Source organism: Homo sapiens, chromosome 5, assembly GCF_000001405.40.
Source record: "Homo sapiens chromosome 5, GRCh38.p14 Primary Assembly".
Taxonomy (NCBI): domain Eukaryota; kingdom Metazoa; phylum Chordata; class Mammalia; order Primates; family Hominidae; genus Homo; species Homo sapiens.
The window spans coordinates 157,391,690-157,410,545 of NC_000005.10; the positions used below are offsets into that span (position 1 = coordinate 157,391,690).

Below are 18,856 nucleotides of genomic sequence, written 5' to 3' on the forward strand. Positions count from 1 at the left end.
CTTTTGGGTATTTTTGAAAATGGTTAATTTTGGCTACCATGAAACATGGGTGTACAAATAACTCTACAAATTTCTGCTTTCCATTCTTTTGAGTATATACCTGGACGTGGAATTGCTGGATCGTATGGTAATTCTATGTTTAACTTTTTAGAAACTGCCATTCTGTTTTCCATAGTGGCTGCACAATTTTACATTCCCACCAGCAGTACACAAGAGTTCCAATTTCTCCACATCCTCATCAGCACTTATTCTTTAATAATAGTCATCCTGAGGGGTGAAAAAGTTATCTTGTTGTGATTTTGATTTGAATTTCCCTAATGACTGTCACTGCTGAGTGCTATATTCATGTGTTATTGGCCATTTGTATATCTTCTTTAGAAAAATGTCTATTCAAGTCCTTTGTCCATTTTTTTAATTGAGTCATTTTTGTTGAGTTGAAGTTCTTTACATATTCTAGATATTACTTATCAGATATAATTTGTGATTATTTTCTATTTTTCGGTTGCCTTTTCATTCTCATGGTGTCCCTTTGATGCATGAAAGTTTTCAATTTTGATGTAGTGCAACTTTTTGCCTTTGCTTTTGATGTCATACCCCAAGATATTATTGCCAAATCCAACATCATGAAAATTTTTCCCCTATATTCTCTTTTAAGAATTTCAGTTTAATCTCATGGTTACGTCTCTAATCCATTCTGAGTTAATTTTTTGTATATGGTATAAGGTAAGCGTCCATTGTTATTTTTTGTGTGGGTATCCATATTTCCCAGCACCTTTTGTTGAAAAGGCTGTTTCCCCCATTGAACAGTCTTGGCACCCTTGTTGAAAATCATTTGATCATATGTGTAATAGTGTATTTCTGGGCTCTCTATTCTGTTTTATTCATCTGTACATCTACCTTTTTACCAGTGCCACAGTGTTGTTGATTATTGTAGCTCTGTAGATCGTTTTAAAACTTGGAGAGGGTTTTTACGGTCCAGTTAACACTTGATTGCCAGATCCAGGGGATTCCATAAAAGGACTTTAAGAAAGTGACATGATCACTGATGCAGGGGACCCTGGACCTCAGTGACTTCTCCTGTTACTCCCTCTTTCCACCCCCACTTTGTCCTGCCCTAACTTGAACATCCCCTTCCTTCTGTAGCCCCTGAAGAAGATGGCCGACCGGATCAGGAAGTATCAGATCTTGAACAATGAGGTTTTTGCCATCCTGAACAAATACATGAAGTCCGTGGAGACAGACAGTTCCACTGTGGAGCATGTGCGCTGCTTCCAGCCACCCATCCACCAGTCCTTGGCCACCACTTGCTAAGCAGAAGATCCTGCAGACCCTTATCTGGAGGAGGAAGAGAAGCAGGAGAGAGAAAGCCACAGCCAGCCTGCCATAGGATCCAACTGGACAACGTGTGGGATGGACCTGGAAACAAGCACCTCCCCAAACACATCACCACTCCCTAGGGCGGGGCCTGTGCATGCTCTCCCATGACATCTCCATGCTGGTTTCTCCATAGCATAAATGAAAAAAAAAAAAAAAAAGTAAACAGGGCAGTGTGTGCTTTTTCTTTTCTCCCCCCTCAACTATATTAAGAACTCCTAGTTTCACCCTTTCTCCATCCCATCATCCCACCTATCTGTGGTTGCTTCCCAAGACCTCCTCCCAAGATAGACATCTCCTACCCAGTGCCCTTGTGTGACCCCAGGACTCAAGTCTCAGACTGTGAACAGATGTGGCCATGCCCAGAGACGCCAGCCTGGCCAGAAGGGCATGCCTCAGCTTACTACTTCATCTCTCCTGGTTCCCTCCCTGCAGTGCCCCGGGTGTCATCTTCTCCCACTCTGGGTACCAGGGATTCTACCACATAGGCTTCCCAAAGCCCCATTCTAACTCCCCTCTCTCAGGGAAGCCCTAGAGAGAGGTCCAAAAAGCATTCACAGCTGTATCACACTCTATGCAGGTGGGGTAGGAGACTGATCAGGCCTGCTGTGGGGAAGCAGTATGTATGAACACAGCCAGAAATGTCATAGTCCAAACAGGATGCTTTCAGGCCATCTCAGCTGCTTGATGGTGAGATGGTTCCCTTATTCCTTCAGGAAAGGCTTAGCATTGGGCCACATAGGGGAAGCAGCTTTGAACAAATCAGTCATAGCACTGCCTATAGCATTAGCCAGTGACCAAATTAGGGACAACGTCTTGGCACAGAATTGCTTATCAAGGAACATTTCCACAAGAAAGAAAATATTAAGGGGTTATTTCCACAGAAGCCCAAAACGTCTTGGAAACACAGAGGTGAGGAGGAGGAATAGTAATTGTCAATGAGCTTTTAATACCAAGATACACCCCCTGCCCCCAAAGAAGAGTCCTCTTTTAGGGAATCAGAACCTTCATTGTCCTAGAAGCTGAAAGATTCTTGGAACATTTTAGCTTTTACTCTCAACTTGCTGTTCTCTTTACATTCCTTAAGTTAGACTTTCGGGTGTGGCTTCTCTCCCAGGGGTAACATTTACTTCCATTTTCTAGACTGAACCAAAAGTCTTCTGCAGAATCTCCCACCGAGTGTGGTAAGAAGGAAGGACAAAAGGCTTTAGGATATAAATTTCATGTTACAGAGCATGTCATTGTCAAAGGAAATCTGTGGCCCTGAGATTTTAAGAACATAAAATGTGACATTTGATATTTCTCCAGCCCAGGGAAGTAAGATGGTTAGCAATGGTTGCCTTAATCAAATGGTCCCATTTTTAACCCCAAAGGAAGTGCCCACAGCAAGAGGTTTGTGTGATGCACTTATGTCCTCCGGTGAGGAAAGGGGGCCACATATGAAAGGCCCCTTAGGTCAGATCCTGAGAGTAGCACATTTGAGTGCAGATTCCTGGGCCCCACCTCAAACCTACTAATTCTGAATCTCTGGGAATAGGGCCAGGAAATCTGCCCTTTCTACAAACTACCCAAGTTGTTCTGTTGCACATCAATGTTTGGGAACCACTGCTGTAAGGGAATCATTCTGGTCACCTTGAGCTTTGAGCTACCACTAAGCCATGAAAGAAAATACATCATACAGGGAAGAGAGAAGGGAGGAGGTTCCAAGTAGTAACTGGCAGATCCTCCTGTCTGGAGGTACCACCTTCTATTCTGGTTTCTGACTTTTCCTTCTTGATGACCATAGATGTGTTCCAGAGGCAAAAGAGACACATTATCCCAGATGGCAGAACATGCTTTCAAAACATATAAAATGTCAAAGTTCCAGATCCTTCTACATCTTTAGTCCTGTCTGAGGATGGTAGCTGGCTCTCTGTAGCTGATAGATGGCTAGAGTTCCATCCAAATCCTTGACCACGACTTCATGGAGATTTGAATAATCTATTTGATGAGATTTCTATTTCAATAACCCACCTCTCTCACCCCACATTCATATCCCTAAATTTGACCCTCTGGGCCGAGTCACATTACCTTCAGGAGACTTGATCCCAGTAGACTGAGGTCTTCCCTTTCAGCAGAAAGATTTCATTTCCCTGGCTTGCCAGTGGCACTGATTTCCGAACACCCAATGAGTTTAATATTCTTTCCTCCTTGGCATTACTGCCCCAGCCTCTTTTTATTTTTTTTGTGTGTGTCTAATAACCAGGAAAAAAATAAAGCTTAGGTTTTAAAAAGTTTTAAAAATAATCTGTTTCAGAAACTGTCAAATGTACCATATTTGTATTAAGAGTTGTTGGGAATTTTTGTACAATGAATTTACATTTATTTATGGTGACATATTTACGCTTGTGATCAAATAATGATGTTAAATTCTTAAATCATATTTGCTATGCAGCTGAAGATGATATTTTGATTTGTATTTTGGGGGTACCTGTGTTGAGTTGATAAACATTTCCATCTTCATTAAAACTGCTTCCAAACTAGTAAAACCAGCAACTTGGTCTTGATTCCTGGTTCTATTCTAATCCTCATTGACCTGTAGAAGGCCATATTAAAACTAATTACTAAGCAAACAACCTAAAACAGAATCAAAGAAAAATATAGGTTAATGCACAATAAACTAATGGCTTTGCTTGCTTTCCCACGTGGGGGATTACATCTTTAACAAATTGAGCCTCACATTTCACATAGCACAAGCTTTCCTAAAGGTCATCCACTAAGATGAGTCCTAGGGCTGTTTCCTCTTCTGTCAAGTTGGACAAGTTGATCTCTTCTAGCTCTGATATCCTGATTCTAGGTAATTTCCCACTGGTGCACTTTGAGGGGTCTACTTCACACACTCAAAGTCTTTCTCAACGTATGTCATCACCTCATAAAATTGCCATCACAAGGAGTCATATTTGAGCTAGTGTAGTGGGAGGGCTATTAGCTATTAGATGCTCAGTGAAAAAAGGGTTCCAAAGAAGATAAATTTGGGGAACACTTCATGATCTTTCCCTTCGAAGATCCATAAGACTCTGAGGAGTGCTGCAGAACCTTATCAGTCTAGATCAACACCCTATCTCCTAGATGGTTTTATTAGTCTGTTTTCACACGGGGATAAAGACATACCCAAGACTGGGAAGAAAGAGGTTTAATTGGACTTACAGTTGGACATGGCCAGGGAGGCCTCAGAATCATGGCAGGAGGGGAAAGGCACTTCTTACATGGCAGTAGCAAGAGAAAAACGAGGAAAAGGCTAAAGCGGAAACCCCTAATAAACCCATCAGATCTCATGAGACTTATTCACTATCATGAGAACAACATGGGAAAGACGGGTCCCCATGATTCAATTACCTCCCCCTGGGTCCCTCCCACAACACGTGGGAATTCTGGGAGATACAAGTTGAGATTCGGGTGGGGACACAGACAAGCCATATCCTTCTGCCCCTGGCCCCTCCAAATCTCATGTCCTCACCTTTCAAAACAAATCATGCCTTCCCAACAGTCCCCCAAAGTCTTAACTAATTTCAGCATTAACCCAAAAGTCCATTGTCCAAAGTCACATCTGAAACAAGACAAGTCCCTTCTGCCTACGAGTCTGTAAAATGAAAAGCAAGCTAGTTACTTCCTAAATACAATGGGGGTACAGGTATTGGGTAGATACAGCCATTCCAAATGGGAGAAATTGGCCAAAACACAGGGGTTACAGGCCCCATGCAAGTCAAAATCCAGCAGAGTGGTCAAATTTTAAAAATCCAAATTGAGCTCCTTTGACTCCAGGTCTCACATCCAGGTCACACTGATGCAAGAGGTGGGATCCCTGGTCTTGGGCAACTCCACCCCTGTAGCTTTGCAGGGTACAGCCTCCCTCCTGGCTGCTTTCATGGGCTGATATTGAGTGTCTACAGCTTTTCCATGTGCACAGTACAAGCTGTTGGTGGATCTACCATTCTGGGGTCTGGAGGATGGTAGCTCTCTTCTCACAACTCCACTAGGCAGTGCCCCAGTAGGGACTCGGTGTGGCAGCTCCAACCCATTTCCCTTCCGCATTGCCCTAGCAGAAGCTCCTTGAGGGTCCCACTCCTGCAGCAAACTTTTGCCTAGGCATCCAAGAGTTTCCCATATGTCTTCTGAAATCTAGGTGGAAGTCACCAAACCTCAGTTCTTGACTTCTGTGCTCCCTCAGGCTCAACACTATGTGGAAGCTGCCAAGGCTTAGGGCTTCCACCCTCTGAAGCCACAGCCGAGCTCTACATTGGCCCCTTTCAGCCATGGCTGGAGTGGCTGGGACACAGGGCATCAAGTCCCTAGGCTGCACACAGCACAGGGACCCTGTGTTCCAGCCCATGAAACCACTTTTTCCTTCTGGGCCTCTGAGCCTGTGATGGGAGGGGCTGCCGTGAAGGTCTCTGACATGGCCTGGAGACATTTTCCTCATGGTCTTGGGGATTAACATTAGGCTCCTTGCTACTTATGCAAATTGCTGCAGCTGGCTTCAATTTCTCCTCAAAAAATGGGTTTTTCTTTTCTACTGCTTTGTGAGGCTGCAAATTTTCTGAACTTTTATGCTTTTACCCTTTTAAAATGGAATGCTTTTAACCCCACCCAAGGTACCTTTTGAATGCTTTGCTGCTTAGAAATTTCTTCCACCAGATACCCTAAATCGTCTCTCTCAAGTTGAAAGTTCCACAAATCTCTAGGGCAGGGGCAAAATGCCACCAGTCTCTTTGCTGAAACATAACAAGAGTCACCTTTGCTCCCAAGAAGTTTGTCATCTCCTTCTCAGACCACCTCAGCCTGGACCTTATTGCTCATATCACTATCAACATTTTTGTCCAAGCTATTCAAGTATCTAGGAGGTTCCAAACTTTCCCACATTATCCTGTCTTCTGAGTCCTCCAAACTGTTCCAACGTCTGCCTGTTACCCAGTTCCAAAGTCATTTCCACATTTTTGGGTATCTTTTCAGCAATGCCCCACTCCCACTACTAATTTACTGTATTAGTCAGTTTTCACACTGCTTGCTGATAAAGACATATCCGAGACTGAAAAGAAAAAGAGGTTTAATTGGACTTACAGTTCCACTTGGCTGGGGAGCCCTCAGAATCATGGCAGGAGGCAAAAGGCACTTCTTACATGGTGGCAGCAAGGGAAAAATGAGGAAGAAGCAAAAGCAGAAACCCCTGATAAATGCATCAGATCTTCTGAGACTTATTCACTATCAAGAGAACAGCAGGGGAAAGACTGGCCCCCATAATTCAATTACTTCCCACTGGGTCCCTCCCACAACATGGGGGAATTCTAGGAGATACAATTCAAGTTGAGATTTGGGTGGGGACACAGCCAAACCATATCAATGGCCATTACCTTGGAAACCCCTTTCTCTGCAAGGTTAATCATCCTCTCTTGGAACACACTTTGAAAAACATTTGCCTAAGGGTATGCAAATTCATGGTAAGATTTTTTTTTAATTCCCACAGGAGGAGGACCACTGACATGCAGGAAATTATGATATGAGGGCACAATTAGAGAAGCAAGGGCCTGACAAATTATTGAAAGATTTCAAATGGGAAGAGGAAGCATTTTGACAGTGGGATAGAATACCATAACTGGGGGTACAAGTGTGCCAGGGCTGTCATAACAAATACTACAAACCAAGTGGTTTAAGCAACAGAAATTCTTTCTCTCACAGTTCTAGGAGCTGGACATCGATGATCAAGGTGTCAGCAGAGTTGGTTTCTTTCCCCAGGGTCTCTCTTCTTGGTTTGTGGGTGACTTATCTTTCTCCCTGTGTTTTCACATGGTCTTCAACTCATGTGTCTTAACCTTTTTTTGTGTTGTGTGTGTGTTTTTTGAGACAGAGTCTCACTCTGTCGCCCAGGCTGGAGTGCAGCGGTGGGATCTTGGCTCACTACAACCTCCACCTTCTGCCTCCACCAGGCAGAGAAGCAATTCTCTGCCTCAGCCTCCCAAGTAGCTGGGATTACAGGTGCCCACCACCACACCCAGCTAATTTTTGTGTTTTTAGTAGAGACAGGGTTTCACCATCTTGGCTGGGCTAGTCTTGAACTCCTGACCTCGTGATCCACCCACCTTGGCCTCCCAAAGTGCTGGGATTACATGCATAAGCCACTGTGCCTGGCCACTTATTTTTTTATAAGGAGACCAGTCATGTTGGATTACAGCCCACGCTAGTGACCTCATTTTAACTTAATGACTTCTTTAGAGACACTATTTGCAAATACAGCCACATTCTGAGCTACTGAGGGCTAGAACTTGGGCATGGGTTGGGGACATGGCACAATTTAGCCCAGAACACTGGGGATGAATCTGGAGAAAGTGTGTCTCTGGGATCCTTGGACAGTTTGAAGGCTGGGATGCTATTCTTTGTGGAACACCCCTTGCACACTCACTATTTACAAGATTAGGGAAAAAAAGAGAAGTACAGGAATATGGTGGAGTAGAAAGGCCAAGGAATCCATCTCCACACCTATAAGACAATCACACTGGCAGAATGTGATGTAACTATTTTGGAACTCTGGATTTTATTCAAGGCTTGCAACTTCCAGGGGAAGGCTTGGACAGTAAACAACAGTTCATTTTGCTCAACTTCAGCTCTTGGTTCACCAGCCGCTACCCATTTGCCAACCTACCTCCCATACCCCACCCCTGCCCCATGGCAGGAAGCTGTACATGTGTTCCTGCACAAGCCAGGGTGGGCAATAAGGACCCTGTCCTCCAAATATCAGGGATCTATGTTCTGATGGCTGATGGCTGATTGCTGCTTCTGATCATGGAGGTGTAAGCATCAAGCAGGCAGCCATTGTCACAAGCCACTCTCCACCCCAACTGAAGCAACTTCCAAGGGATGTAAAAGGCCAGTGTCCTTTTTCTTCCCTGTATACGCCCACTTCATTTTTCTCTTTTTCCCTTTTTGGGAGCCAGACATTAAAGATGAGGACATTCAAAAACAACTACATAAAAGGAGGAAATTAGAAAGTTACCCTGTATGCACAGGAAAAGGCACAAGCTCAAAAAAGATCTGAGAAGACCTTAAGCTTACACCTCAGGCTGATCTTTAGCATGGAGGCAGCCTACAATGATTTAAAAAAATAAATAAAGACAAAAACAAACAGCAAGGCTTGGAGGAAAAGAAAGAACCCAATTTCCAGAAATACCATACTTTTAGCTTCCCATGTCCAGTTTTTAACAAAATCACAAGGCATACAAAGAAGCAGGGAAGTATAGCTGATTTAAAGGAAGAAAAAAATAGAAACTATCCATGAGAAACATTAGATGGTAGAACTACCAAAGACTTTAAAACATCTGTCTTAGATGCTGAAAGAACTAGAGAAAGACATGGAGAAAGTCAAGAAATAACATATGAATAAGATGAAAATATCAATAAAAAGAGAAAACAAAAATTCTAGAGTTGAAACGTACAACAGAAATGAAAAAATATTCTAGAAGACTTCAAAGTCAGATTTGAGCAGGCAGAAGAAAGAATTCTTGAACTTGAAGATAGGACAATTGAAATTAACAAGTTTGATGAACAGAAAAAAGATTGCAGGGACATTAACAGAGCCTAAGGGACCCATGGGACATCATTAAGTGAACCAATATACCCATTGTGGGAGTCTCAGAAGAGAGACAAAGGGCAGAGATATTTTTTGAAGATGTAATAGCCAAAAAATTCCCAACTTTGATGAAAGATATGGTTATAAATACCCAAGAAGCTCACTACAAGTAGGATGAATTTGAGGAGACCTATAAAGAAAGACATTCTAATCAAATCATTGAAAGACAAAGATGAAGAGAATCTTGAAAGCAGCAAGGGAGAAGTGACTCATCAAATACAAAGGATTCTCAGTAAGATTATGAGATTCTCAAACTACGGAGGCCAGAAGGGAGGAGGCTTGTATTTCAAAGTGGTAAAAAGAAAAAAAAAACAGCAAGATTTTTTCATTCTTTTTTTTAAAAGAAAAAAACAAGAAGGGCTTCAAGATTGCTGACTAGAGGCATCTAGTACTCTCCTCTTCCACAAAGAAGAACCAAACCAGCAGGTAGTTAATCACAATTGAATAGACTGTCTAAGAGAGAAGGCTAAAATTCAACACAGAAGTGATAAGAAACAAGGCAGAAGAAGGAAGCAAAGCAGCCTGCTGGGCTGGAATCAATTAGGAGCCTAGAGGTTCCCCAATGTCGTAAAAGGGGAAGTAAGGGTAAGTAAGAGACCCTGGGTGGTCCACATTCCCACTACAGACTCCTGTAATCCTAGCCAAGGGAGAGCCTCACAACCCACGCACACCCTGAGACTAACATAGGGAGCTGCCTGGAGACCATGAAACGCCATTGCTCCAGAGACAGAGCTCACACTAGGCCCCCACACACACCTTGAGACATAAGCCACGATAACAAAGCATTATTTTGAGAGCCTAGCCCTCATTGGACTGCATTCTTGCCTGGAGCCCAATAGCTCCTATACCTCCATATCCCTGGAGCCCCATTGACATCCTTCTACAGGCAGCCAGGTACTACTATTGGCTGCTGCTGCCAGGGTCAAAATGCCAGCCATGGCTAGCAACCCTGCCACCCCCAGTAGCAGGGCCACCAGCCATTTAAAAGCAGACTGAATCAGGGTGTGCTAACTTATACCTGCAATCCCAGTGCTTGAGCAGGGGGACCGAGGTGGGAGGATTACTTGAGGCCACAAGTTCAAGACTACCCTGGGCAACATAGCAAGATTCTGTCTTTAAAAAAATAAAGTTAGCTACTCATGGTGGTGTGTACCTGCTGTCCTAACTACTCAGGAGGCTGAGGCAGGAGAATCACTTGAGCCAGGAGCTCAAAGTTATAATGAGCTATGATCACACCACTGCACTATAGTCTGAGCAACAAAGCTAGGCCCTGTCTCTGAAAAACTAAAATAAAATAAGAACATCCTGAGGAAAGGCTACCCTGTAAATAGCCACCACCTAAGGCCAAAGCATGAGCTCCTCAGGCACCGATTTATGGCTGCTGCCACTTAAACCAACCCCACACTCCCCAGGAGCAAGGCCACAGTGCAGCTGCCACCTCCACCCAAGCATTCTTCTGGGGGCCTAGGGATCACCCTGCTCCTGCCTATCATAGCCAGCACCTGCACATACCACTGGGGGGCCTAAAGACATGCCTACCCAGCCTGGCTACATTCCCCCCTCAGTGCCCAAGCACACCATCCAGGGGCCTGGAAATCACCCTGCCCCATTCACCACCACTGGCATGTGAGTATTCCTTCCAGGGGGCTGAAAACAGGCTCACCCAACCTGCCACTACCACCACAACTAGCACCCACCCACATGCACCACCTACAAGTGTATCATAGCCACCACCAACACTAGCATGGACCACTTGATAGCCAGAAAATTGTCCAACCACTGCTACTGCCAATTGCTCATGCTATGCCCACTGCCTAAGGGACTTGAGAATCTACTCACGTGCCCTGCCCTCTGCTGCCACGGCTGACACCTGAGCCAGGCCAAAAGGAGACCTAAGAGTTGGCCCACTTGACCCACTAACACTAGTGCCAGTGTACACCACCTTGGGGCCCAAGGACAAGTACATTTGGCCTACAGATGCCACTACTGGGGCCTGAGGACTGGTCCATGTGACATCCTGTCCCCAGCAAAACTTCACCATAGCTACTACTAATAACCATACCCTAAGCCACAGAGAAAATCAAAGATGCAACTGACACTGTTTACACCCAAAGAAATCATATGGAGATTACATGGTAGCATGCACCCAGAATCAAAGCCAAAGTTTTCTACTCAACCAACACTGTAGATACATTTTCAGGAAAAAGTCCTCCCCTATGAAAGTAAATCCAAAAAAGTGGAAGAAGCAACTATTACACCAGTTGTGCTGATAATATAAGGACACAAGAAATATGAGAAAGAAAGGAAATAAGATACCTCCAAAGGAATACAATAACTTTCCAGCAACAGATTCCAATGAAAAAGAAACATAAGAAATACTAAAGAATTCAAAACGATGATATTAAAGTAGCTCAGTGAGATACAAGATAACTTAAATACAATACCAAGAAATCAGAAAAAAAATCAAATTAGGATTTGAGTTTACCAAAGAGATGGATATTTAAAAAAATCCAAAACAAAAATTCTGTAACACAAGAATTCATTGAATGAAATACAAAATATATTCTAAAGCTTCAACAGACTAGATAAAGCAGATGAAAGAATTTCAGAACTTGAAGACAGGTCTTTTGAAATAACCCAGTCAGATAAAAATAAAGAAAAAATTAGCAAAGCCTATGTGATATATGGGACAACATAAAGCAATCAAATATTCTAATATTCAGTGTACCAGAAGCCAAAGAGAAAACCAAAGCGATGAAAAACCTATTTTACAAAGTAATAGCTGAAAAACTTCAAGTCTAGCAAGAAATTTCGACATCCAGATATTAGGAATCTCAGAAATCTCCAGTCAGATACAATTTAAAATAGTCTTCTCCACAGCACATTATAGTCAAACTGTCAAAAGTCAAAGAAGAGAATTATAAAAACAGCAAAAGAAAATGATCTAGTTATTTATTAGGGAGCCCTCATCAGACTAACAGTGGATTTCTCAGCAGAATCCTCACAGGCCAAGAGAATGAAATGATACATTCAAAGTGCTGAAAGAAAAAAACCTGCCAGTCAAGCATACTATATCCAGTAAATGTGTCTTTAAAAAATGAAGGAGAAAAGTCTTCCCAGACAAGCTGAAGTTGAAAAAATTCATCACCACTAGATCAGTCCTATAAGAATTGCTTAAGTCAGTCCTACACCTGGAAGTGAAAGGACAATGCCTTCTACAATTCTGAAGACACATGGAAGTATAAAGCCTACTGGTAGAGCAAACATACAAATAAGGAAAAGAAAAAACTCAAATGTTACCACTACAAAAAAAAAATCAAACCACAATGACAAAAAGAGAGAAAGAAAGGAAGAATATATAGAACAACCAGAAATCAATTAATAAAATGACAGGAATAAACCCTCACATAATAGCCTTGAATGTAAACAGATTGAACTTTTCACTTAAAAGACAGACTGTCTGAATGGATTATTTATTTAAATGACCCACTTGTATGCTGCCTACAAGAAACTCATCTCACTTGTAAAAGACACAGACTGAAAGTAAAGAGATGAAAAAAGACAAAACAATCAGGAGTAGCTATACTTAGATAAAACACATATTAGGTCAAAAACAGTGAAGAAGAGACAAAGAAGGTCATTATCTAATGATACAGTAATGATACAGGGATCAAGTAAGGACCAGGATCAAATAATTCTAAACATATATGCAACCCAACATGAGAGTACTCAAGATATACTATTAGATCTTAAGGAAGAAATAGACACCAACACAATAATAGTTGGGGACTTCAACACCCCACTCTCAGCTTTAGACAGATTATTTAGAAAGAAAATTAAATAAATACTGGATTTAAACTGTACTTCAGACCAAATGGACCTAAGAGCCATTTAAGAACATTGCAACCAAGAACTACAGAATCCATATTCTTCTGATTAGCACATAGAACGTTCTCCAGGATAGACCATTTGTTAGGATACAAAACAAGTCTCAACAATTTTTCTAAATCAAAATCTATTAATTATCTTCTCAGATCACAGTGGAATAAAACTAGAAGTTGATCACAAGAGAAACTTTGGAAAACTATACAAATACATAGAAAGTAAACAATATGCTCCTGAATAACCACCTAGGTCCAATAAGCAATTAAGGAGGAAATAAAAATACTGCTTAAAAGAAATGAATTGATATACAACATACCGAAACCTATGGGACACAGCAAAAGCAGTGCTAAGAAGGAAGTTTATAGCAATAAATGCTTATATCAGAAAAGCAGAAGGAATTAAAACAATCTAACAATGCACCTTGAGGAACTAGCAAAGCAAGAACCAAGCCCAAAATTAGTAGAAGGAAAGAAATAATAAAGATCAAAGTGGAACTAAGCAAAATATAAACTAAAGCTACAAAGGGTCAATGAAAAGATAGTTTTTTTTAAGAAAATAAAAACTGATAAACCATTAACTAGACTAACCGAAAAAAAAAAAAAAAGAAGAAGAAGACTCAAAGTCACAAACAAAAAAAAAGTGGGGAGTGGCCAAGATGGCCAACTAGAAGCAGCTAATATGTGTGGCTTTCACAGAGAGGAATGGAAGGGGCAAGTAAATACAACACCTTCAACTGAAACAACCAAGTACTTGCATTGGGACTAATCAAGGAAACAACCTGACCCATGGAGAATAAAGACAAGCAAGACAGGGCCAGGTGCGGTGGCTCATGCCTGTAATCCCAGGACTTTAGAAGGCCAAGGTGGGCAGATCATGAGGTCAGGAGATGGAGACCATGCTGGCTAACACAGTGAAACCCCATCTCTACTAAAAATACAAAAAAATTAGCCAGGCGTGGTGGCAGGTGCCTGTAGTCCCAGCTACTCGGGAAGCTGAGGTGGAGCTTGCAGTGAGCTGAGATTGTGCCACTGCCCTGCAGCCTGGGAGACAGAGCAAGACTCTGTCTCAAAAAAAAAAAAAAAAAAAAAAAAAAGACAGGACAACAGTCCAACAGGGAGCAACATGGAACTAGGGGAACCTCCCCAACCCAAGAAATCAGTGAGTGAATGAGTGACCCTGGGAAACCACGCTTCTCCCAAGGATCTTTGCAACCCTCAGGTCAGGAGATGTCCTTGTGAACCCACTCCACCAAGGCCTTCAGTCTGACAGACAGAGCTATGTGGAGCCTCAGCATTGCAGCCACTCAGGCATGTGTGGAAACTGAGGCTTCAGATACTCAGGCTTTCCGGCAAAAGTAGCTGCAGCTCCAGCAAAGTGGGAGGTTAGACCCCCATACATAATCCTAGGAAAGAGGCAGAATCCAGGGGGCTGAGCAGCAATAGCCTGCAGGCCCACTTCCACAGCACCTCACAAGGTAAGACCCACTGGCTTGGAATTCCAGCCAGCCACCAGTAGTGGCATTGTACCTCCCTAAGAAGTAGCTCCTGGTGGGAGGGGCAGGCTGCCAAATTTGCAGTTTGGTTGCCTTAGCCATTCCAGCCTTCAGGCTTTGGAGTGTCCAAGCTGACCAGGGATGAAAGGGATCCCCCAGCACAGCACAGCTGCTCTACCAAAACATGGCCTGACTGCTGCTTTAAGCAGGTAACTGATGCCAGACCTCCTCACTGGGCAGGATCTCCTAGGTTGGGCCCTCCAACCAATGCCACCAGTGGTCTCCAGCTGACAGAGATTTGAATTTTGCTGGAGATGGTGCTGTCAGAGCAGGGGACAGTTCACCATCTTTGCTGTTTGAGTGACATAGCTGTTCCAGCCTTCAGACTTCAGAGAACCCAAGCCGACTGGGGATAGAAGGGCTCTCTCAGCACTGCACAGCTCTACCAAAACATGGCCAGACTGCTTTTTTAAGTGGATCCCTGATCCTGCTCCTCCTCATTGGGCAGGACCTCCCAACTGGGTCCTCCAGCCACCCCTCTTGGTGTTTCTCCAGTGAACAAAGATTTTTAATCTCTCTGGGATAGAGCTCCAGAGGGAGGGGTGAACCATTATCTTTGCTGTTTGAGCGACTTAGCCATTCCAGCCTTTGGACTTCAGAGGGTCTGAGGTGACTGGGGAGGGCACTGAAGCAGACCCCCAGCACAGCACAGCTGCTCTACCAAAATGTTGCCAGACTGCTTTTTTAAGTGGGTTCCTGATCATCCCCATTCCCCCTCATTGGGCAGGACTTCCCAACCTGTGTATCCAGCTACTTCCTGCAGGTGTCTTTGGGCCAGCAACAGGCCCATACCTCCCTGAAACAAAGCTCCCAGGGGGAGAAACAGGCTGCCATCTTTGCTGTTTTTCAGCCTTACTGGTGATACCTCTCAGTACTAGAAAATCCAAGGTGACTAGGGACTGGAGTGGACCCAAGCATACTGCAGCAGCCCTATGGAAAAGTGGTCAGACTCTTCCAGGGGCAATTGAAAGCCTCTCTGTCACTGCCTCTGCAGTGGAACTGCCCTTGCCACCATCAGACTAATGAAGGAGCAAAGACCTTAAGTGCCTCATCCACACCTCCAACAAGCTGCAGTCAATCCAAGGAGGGGAGTCCATCCATATCCCATTGATCCAATCCCACCCCCTCTACCCCTCACTGCTTGTCACCAGACAGGGAACCCATGGCTTAGGCCTGTAGCACAAACTCTCCATCCTGGGCTGATTGCACTGAGCCATTGCTGACCTTCATTTCTCTGGGGTAGAGCCCTCAGGAGACAAGCAAATGACCCTTGACCACAACCACTACTAAAATCCCTTCCTCTGCTGCCTCCAAGTTGGGGAAGAGAAACAAACACTGAGATCACCCCAGAGCTGCAGTGGGCAGCCCAGGAGTGCCAAGTTGTCCTTTACAGTCAGTGCTCAAGGGGGAAAGGAACCCACACTTTCAGAACATTGAGAGGGAACACAGCTGCAACTGTGAGGAAATACAACTGAGCAAGAGTCTACCAACTGAGCAATAAGCCTAAGTGCCGCCTGCTGGATTACACCTCAAAGCTTCAACACCAAAGATACCTCACTAACATACCCCCTCTGAAACCAGAGACAAGAAGTCAGTTTCAAATAAAGACCCTGCACAAAGCTTTGGCCTGGTGAAAACATCCAGAAAAGAAGCCTATTTACTGCAGTCAGTCTACACTGCAGTTAAAAGAACACCCACACAAAGAGCTGAGAAAGAACCAACAGAAGAACCCCGGTTACTCAAATGGCCAGAGTGTCATATGTCCTCCAAATGACTGCATCCATTCTCCAACAAGAGTTTTTAACCAGGCCAAACTGGTTGGAATGACAGAAATAGAGTTCAGAAATAGATAGGAACAAAAATCATGAAGATTCAGGTGGACAGAAAAACCCAATTCAAGGAAAATAAGAATCACAATAAAGCAATACAGAAGTTGAAGGATGAAATAGCTAGTATAAAAAAGAACCTAATGGGTCTGACAGAGCTGCATAACATAATACAAGAATTTCACGGCCGGGCGCGGTGGCTCACGCCTGTAATCCCAGCACTTTGGGAGGCCGAGGCGGGCGGATCACGAGGTCAGGAGATCGAGACCATCCCGGCTAAAACGGTGAAACCCCGTCTCTACTAAAAATACAAAAAATTAGCCGGGCGTAGTGGCGGGCGCCTGTAGTCCCAGCTACTTGGGAGGCTGAGGCAGGAGAATGGCGTGAACCCGGGAGGCGGAGCTTGCAGTGAGCCGAGATCCCGCCACTGCACTCCAGCCTGGGCGACAGAGCGAGACTCCGTCTCAAAAAAAAAAAAAAAAAAAAGAATTTCACAATGTGATCACAAGTATTAACAGTAGAATAAACCAAGCTGAGGAAAGAATCTCAGAACTTGAGGACTAAGTCTCTAAAATTTTCAGACAAAAAATTTTTTAAAAATTATAAAATGAAAAAAACCTCTGAGAAGTATGGGATTATGTAAAGAGACCAAATCTATGAATCATTGGCATCCATGAAAGGGAGGGAGAGAAAGCAAACAATTTGGAAAACACATTTGAGATATCATCTATGAAAACATCCCCAACCTTGCTAGAGAGGCCAACAGTCAAATTCAGAAAATACTTCTGAAAGATTCTATACATGATGATCATCCCCAAGACACATAATCAGATTTTCCAAGGTCGCAATGAAAGAAAGAATATTAAACACAGCTAGAGAGAAAGGGCAGGTCACCTACAAAAGGAACCCTGTTAGGCTAACAGCAGACCTCTCAGCTAAAGCCCTACATGCCAGAAGAGATTGGGGGGCTTATATTCAACATTCTTAAAGAAAAACATCTTCAACCAAGAATTTTATATCCAGCCCAACTAAGTTTCCTAAGTGAAGGAGAAATAAAATCCTTTTCAGATAACAAAATGTTGGGGGAATTCATTACCACCAGACCTGCCACATGAGAGATCTTGAAAGCAGCACTAAATATAGAAAGGAAAGACTGCTATCAGCTAATACAAAAACTAGAAGCAAACACACAAAAGCCAACATCTTAAGCAACTAACAGCACAATGACAGAATCAAATCCATACATATCAATACTAACCTTGGATATAAGTGGGCTAAATGCCCTCTTAAAAGGCACAGAGTGGCAAGCTGGATAAAAAAGCAAGACCCTATGGTATGCTGCCTTTAAGAGACATCTCACATGTAATGACACTCACAGACTCAAAATGAAGGAATGGAGGAAAATCTACCAAGCAAATGGAAAACAAAAAAGTAAAGGTTGCAATCTTAACTACAGACAAAACAGATTTCAAACCAGTGAAGATCAAAAAACACAAAGAAGGGCATTACATAATGGTAAACGGTTCAATTTAATAAGAACTAACAATCCTAAATATATATGCAACCAACACAGGAGCATCCAGATTCATAAAGCAAGTTCTTAGATATCTACAAAGAGACAGACTCCTACACAATAATAGTAGGATACTTCAACACTCCATTGACAGTATTAGACAGATCATTGAGGCAGAAAATTAACAAGATATTCGGGACCTAACCTCAACACTGGTCCAAATGAATCTGTTAGACCTTTACAGAACTCTCCACCCCAAAACAACAGAATATACATTATTCTCATTATCAAATGGCACATACTCTAAAATCAACCACATAATTGGATATAAAACAATCCTCAACAAGTGTAAAAGAGTCAAAATCATATGAAACACACTCTCAAACCACAGCACAATAAAAATAGAAGACAATGAAAATCGCTCAAAACCATGCAATTACATGGAAATTAAACAGCATGCTCCTGAATGACTTTTGGATAAATAATGAAATTAAGGCAGAAATCAAGAAGTTCTTTGAAAATAAGAACAAAGATAAAACATACCAGAATATCTGGGACCCAGCTAAGGCAGTGTTAAGAGGGGAATTCATAGCACTAAATGCCCTCATCAAAAAGTTAGAAAGATCTCAAATTAACCTAACTTCACAACTGAAAGAATTAGAGAAGGAAGAACAAATCAGCTCCAAAGCTAGCAGAAGATAATAAAAATCAGAACTGAACTACAAATTGAGACATGAAAAACCACTCAAAAGATCAATTAATCCAGGAGTTGGTTTTTTGAAAAAATTAACAGATAGGTCACTAGCTAGAAGAATAAGGAAGAAAAGAAAAGATCCAAATAAACACAATTGGAAATTACAAAGGGAATGTTACTACTGACCCCAAAGAAATAAAAACAACAATCAGAAACAAGCCAGGCACAGTGGTTCATGCCTGTAATCCCAGCACTTTGGGAGGCTGAGGCAGGTGGATCATTTGAAGTCAGGAGTTTGAGGCCAGCCTGGCCAACATGGTGAAACCCCGTCTCTACTAAAAAACACAAAAATTAG

The 18,856-nt window shown here is 42.9% G+C and overlaps 1 protein-coding gene and 1 long non-coding RNA gene across 10 annotated transcripts in view; one reads left to right on the top strand and one right to left on the bottom strand.

The window, feature by feature from the left end:
• Positions 1–3,905, top strand: part of CYFIP2 (cytoplasmic FMR1 interacting protein 2) — a 129,472-nt gene extending 125,567 nt beyond the window's left edge. For all 8 annotated transcript variants that reach the window (XM_011534516.4, NM_001291722.2, NM_001037333.3 and 5 more), the window contains one exon: positions 1,144–3,905. In XM_011534516.4, the coding sequence (XP_011532818.1) occupies positions 1,144–1,311 (168 nt within the window). In that variant the 3' untranslated portion in view covers positions 1,312–3,905. The remainder of the gene's footprint in view (positions 1–1,143) is intronic.
• The window catches only part of NIPAL4-DT (NIPAL4 divergent transcript), a 97,486-nt gene that overhangs the window by 29,075 nt on the left and 49,555 nt on the right, over positions 1–18,856 (bottom strand). The window lies entirely within an intron of this gene.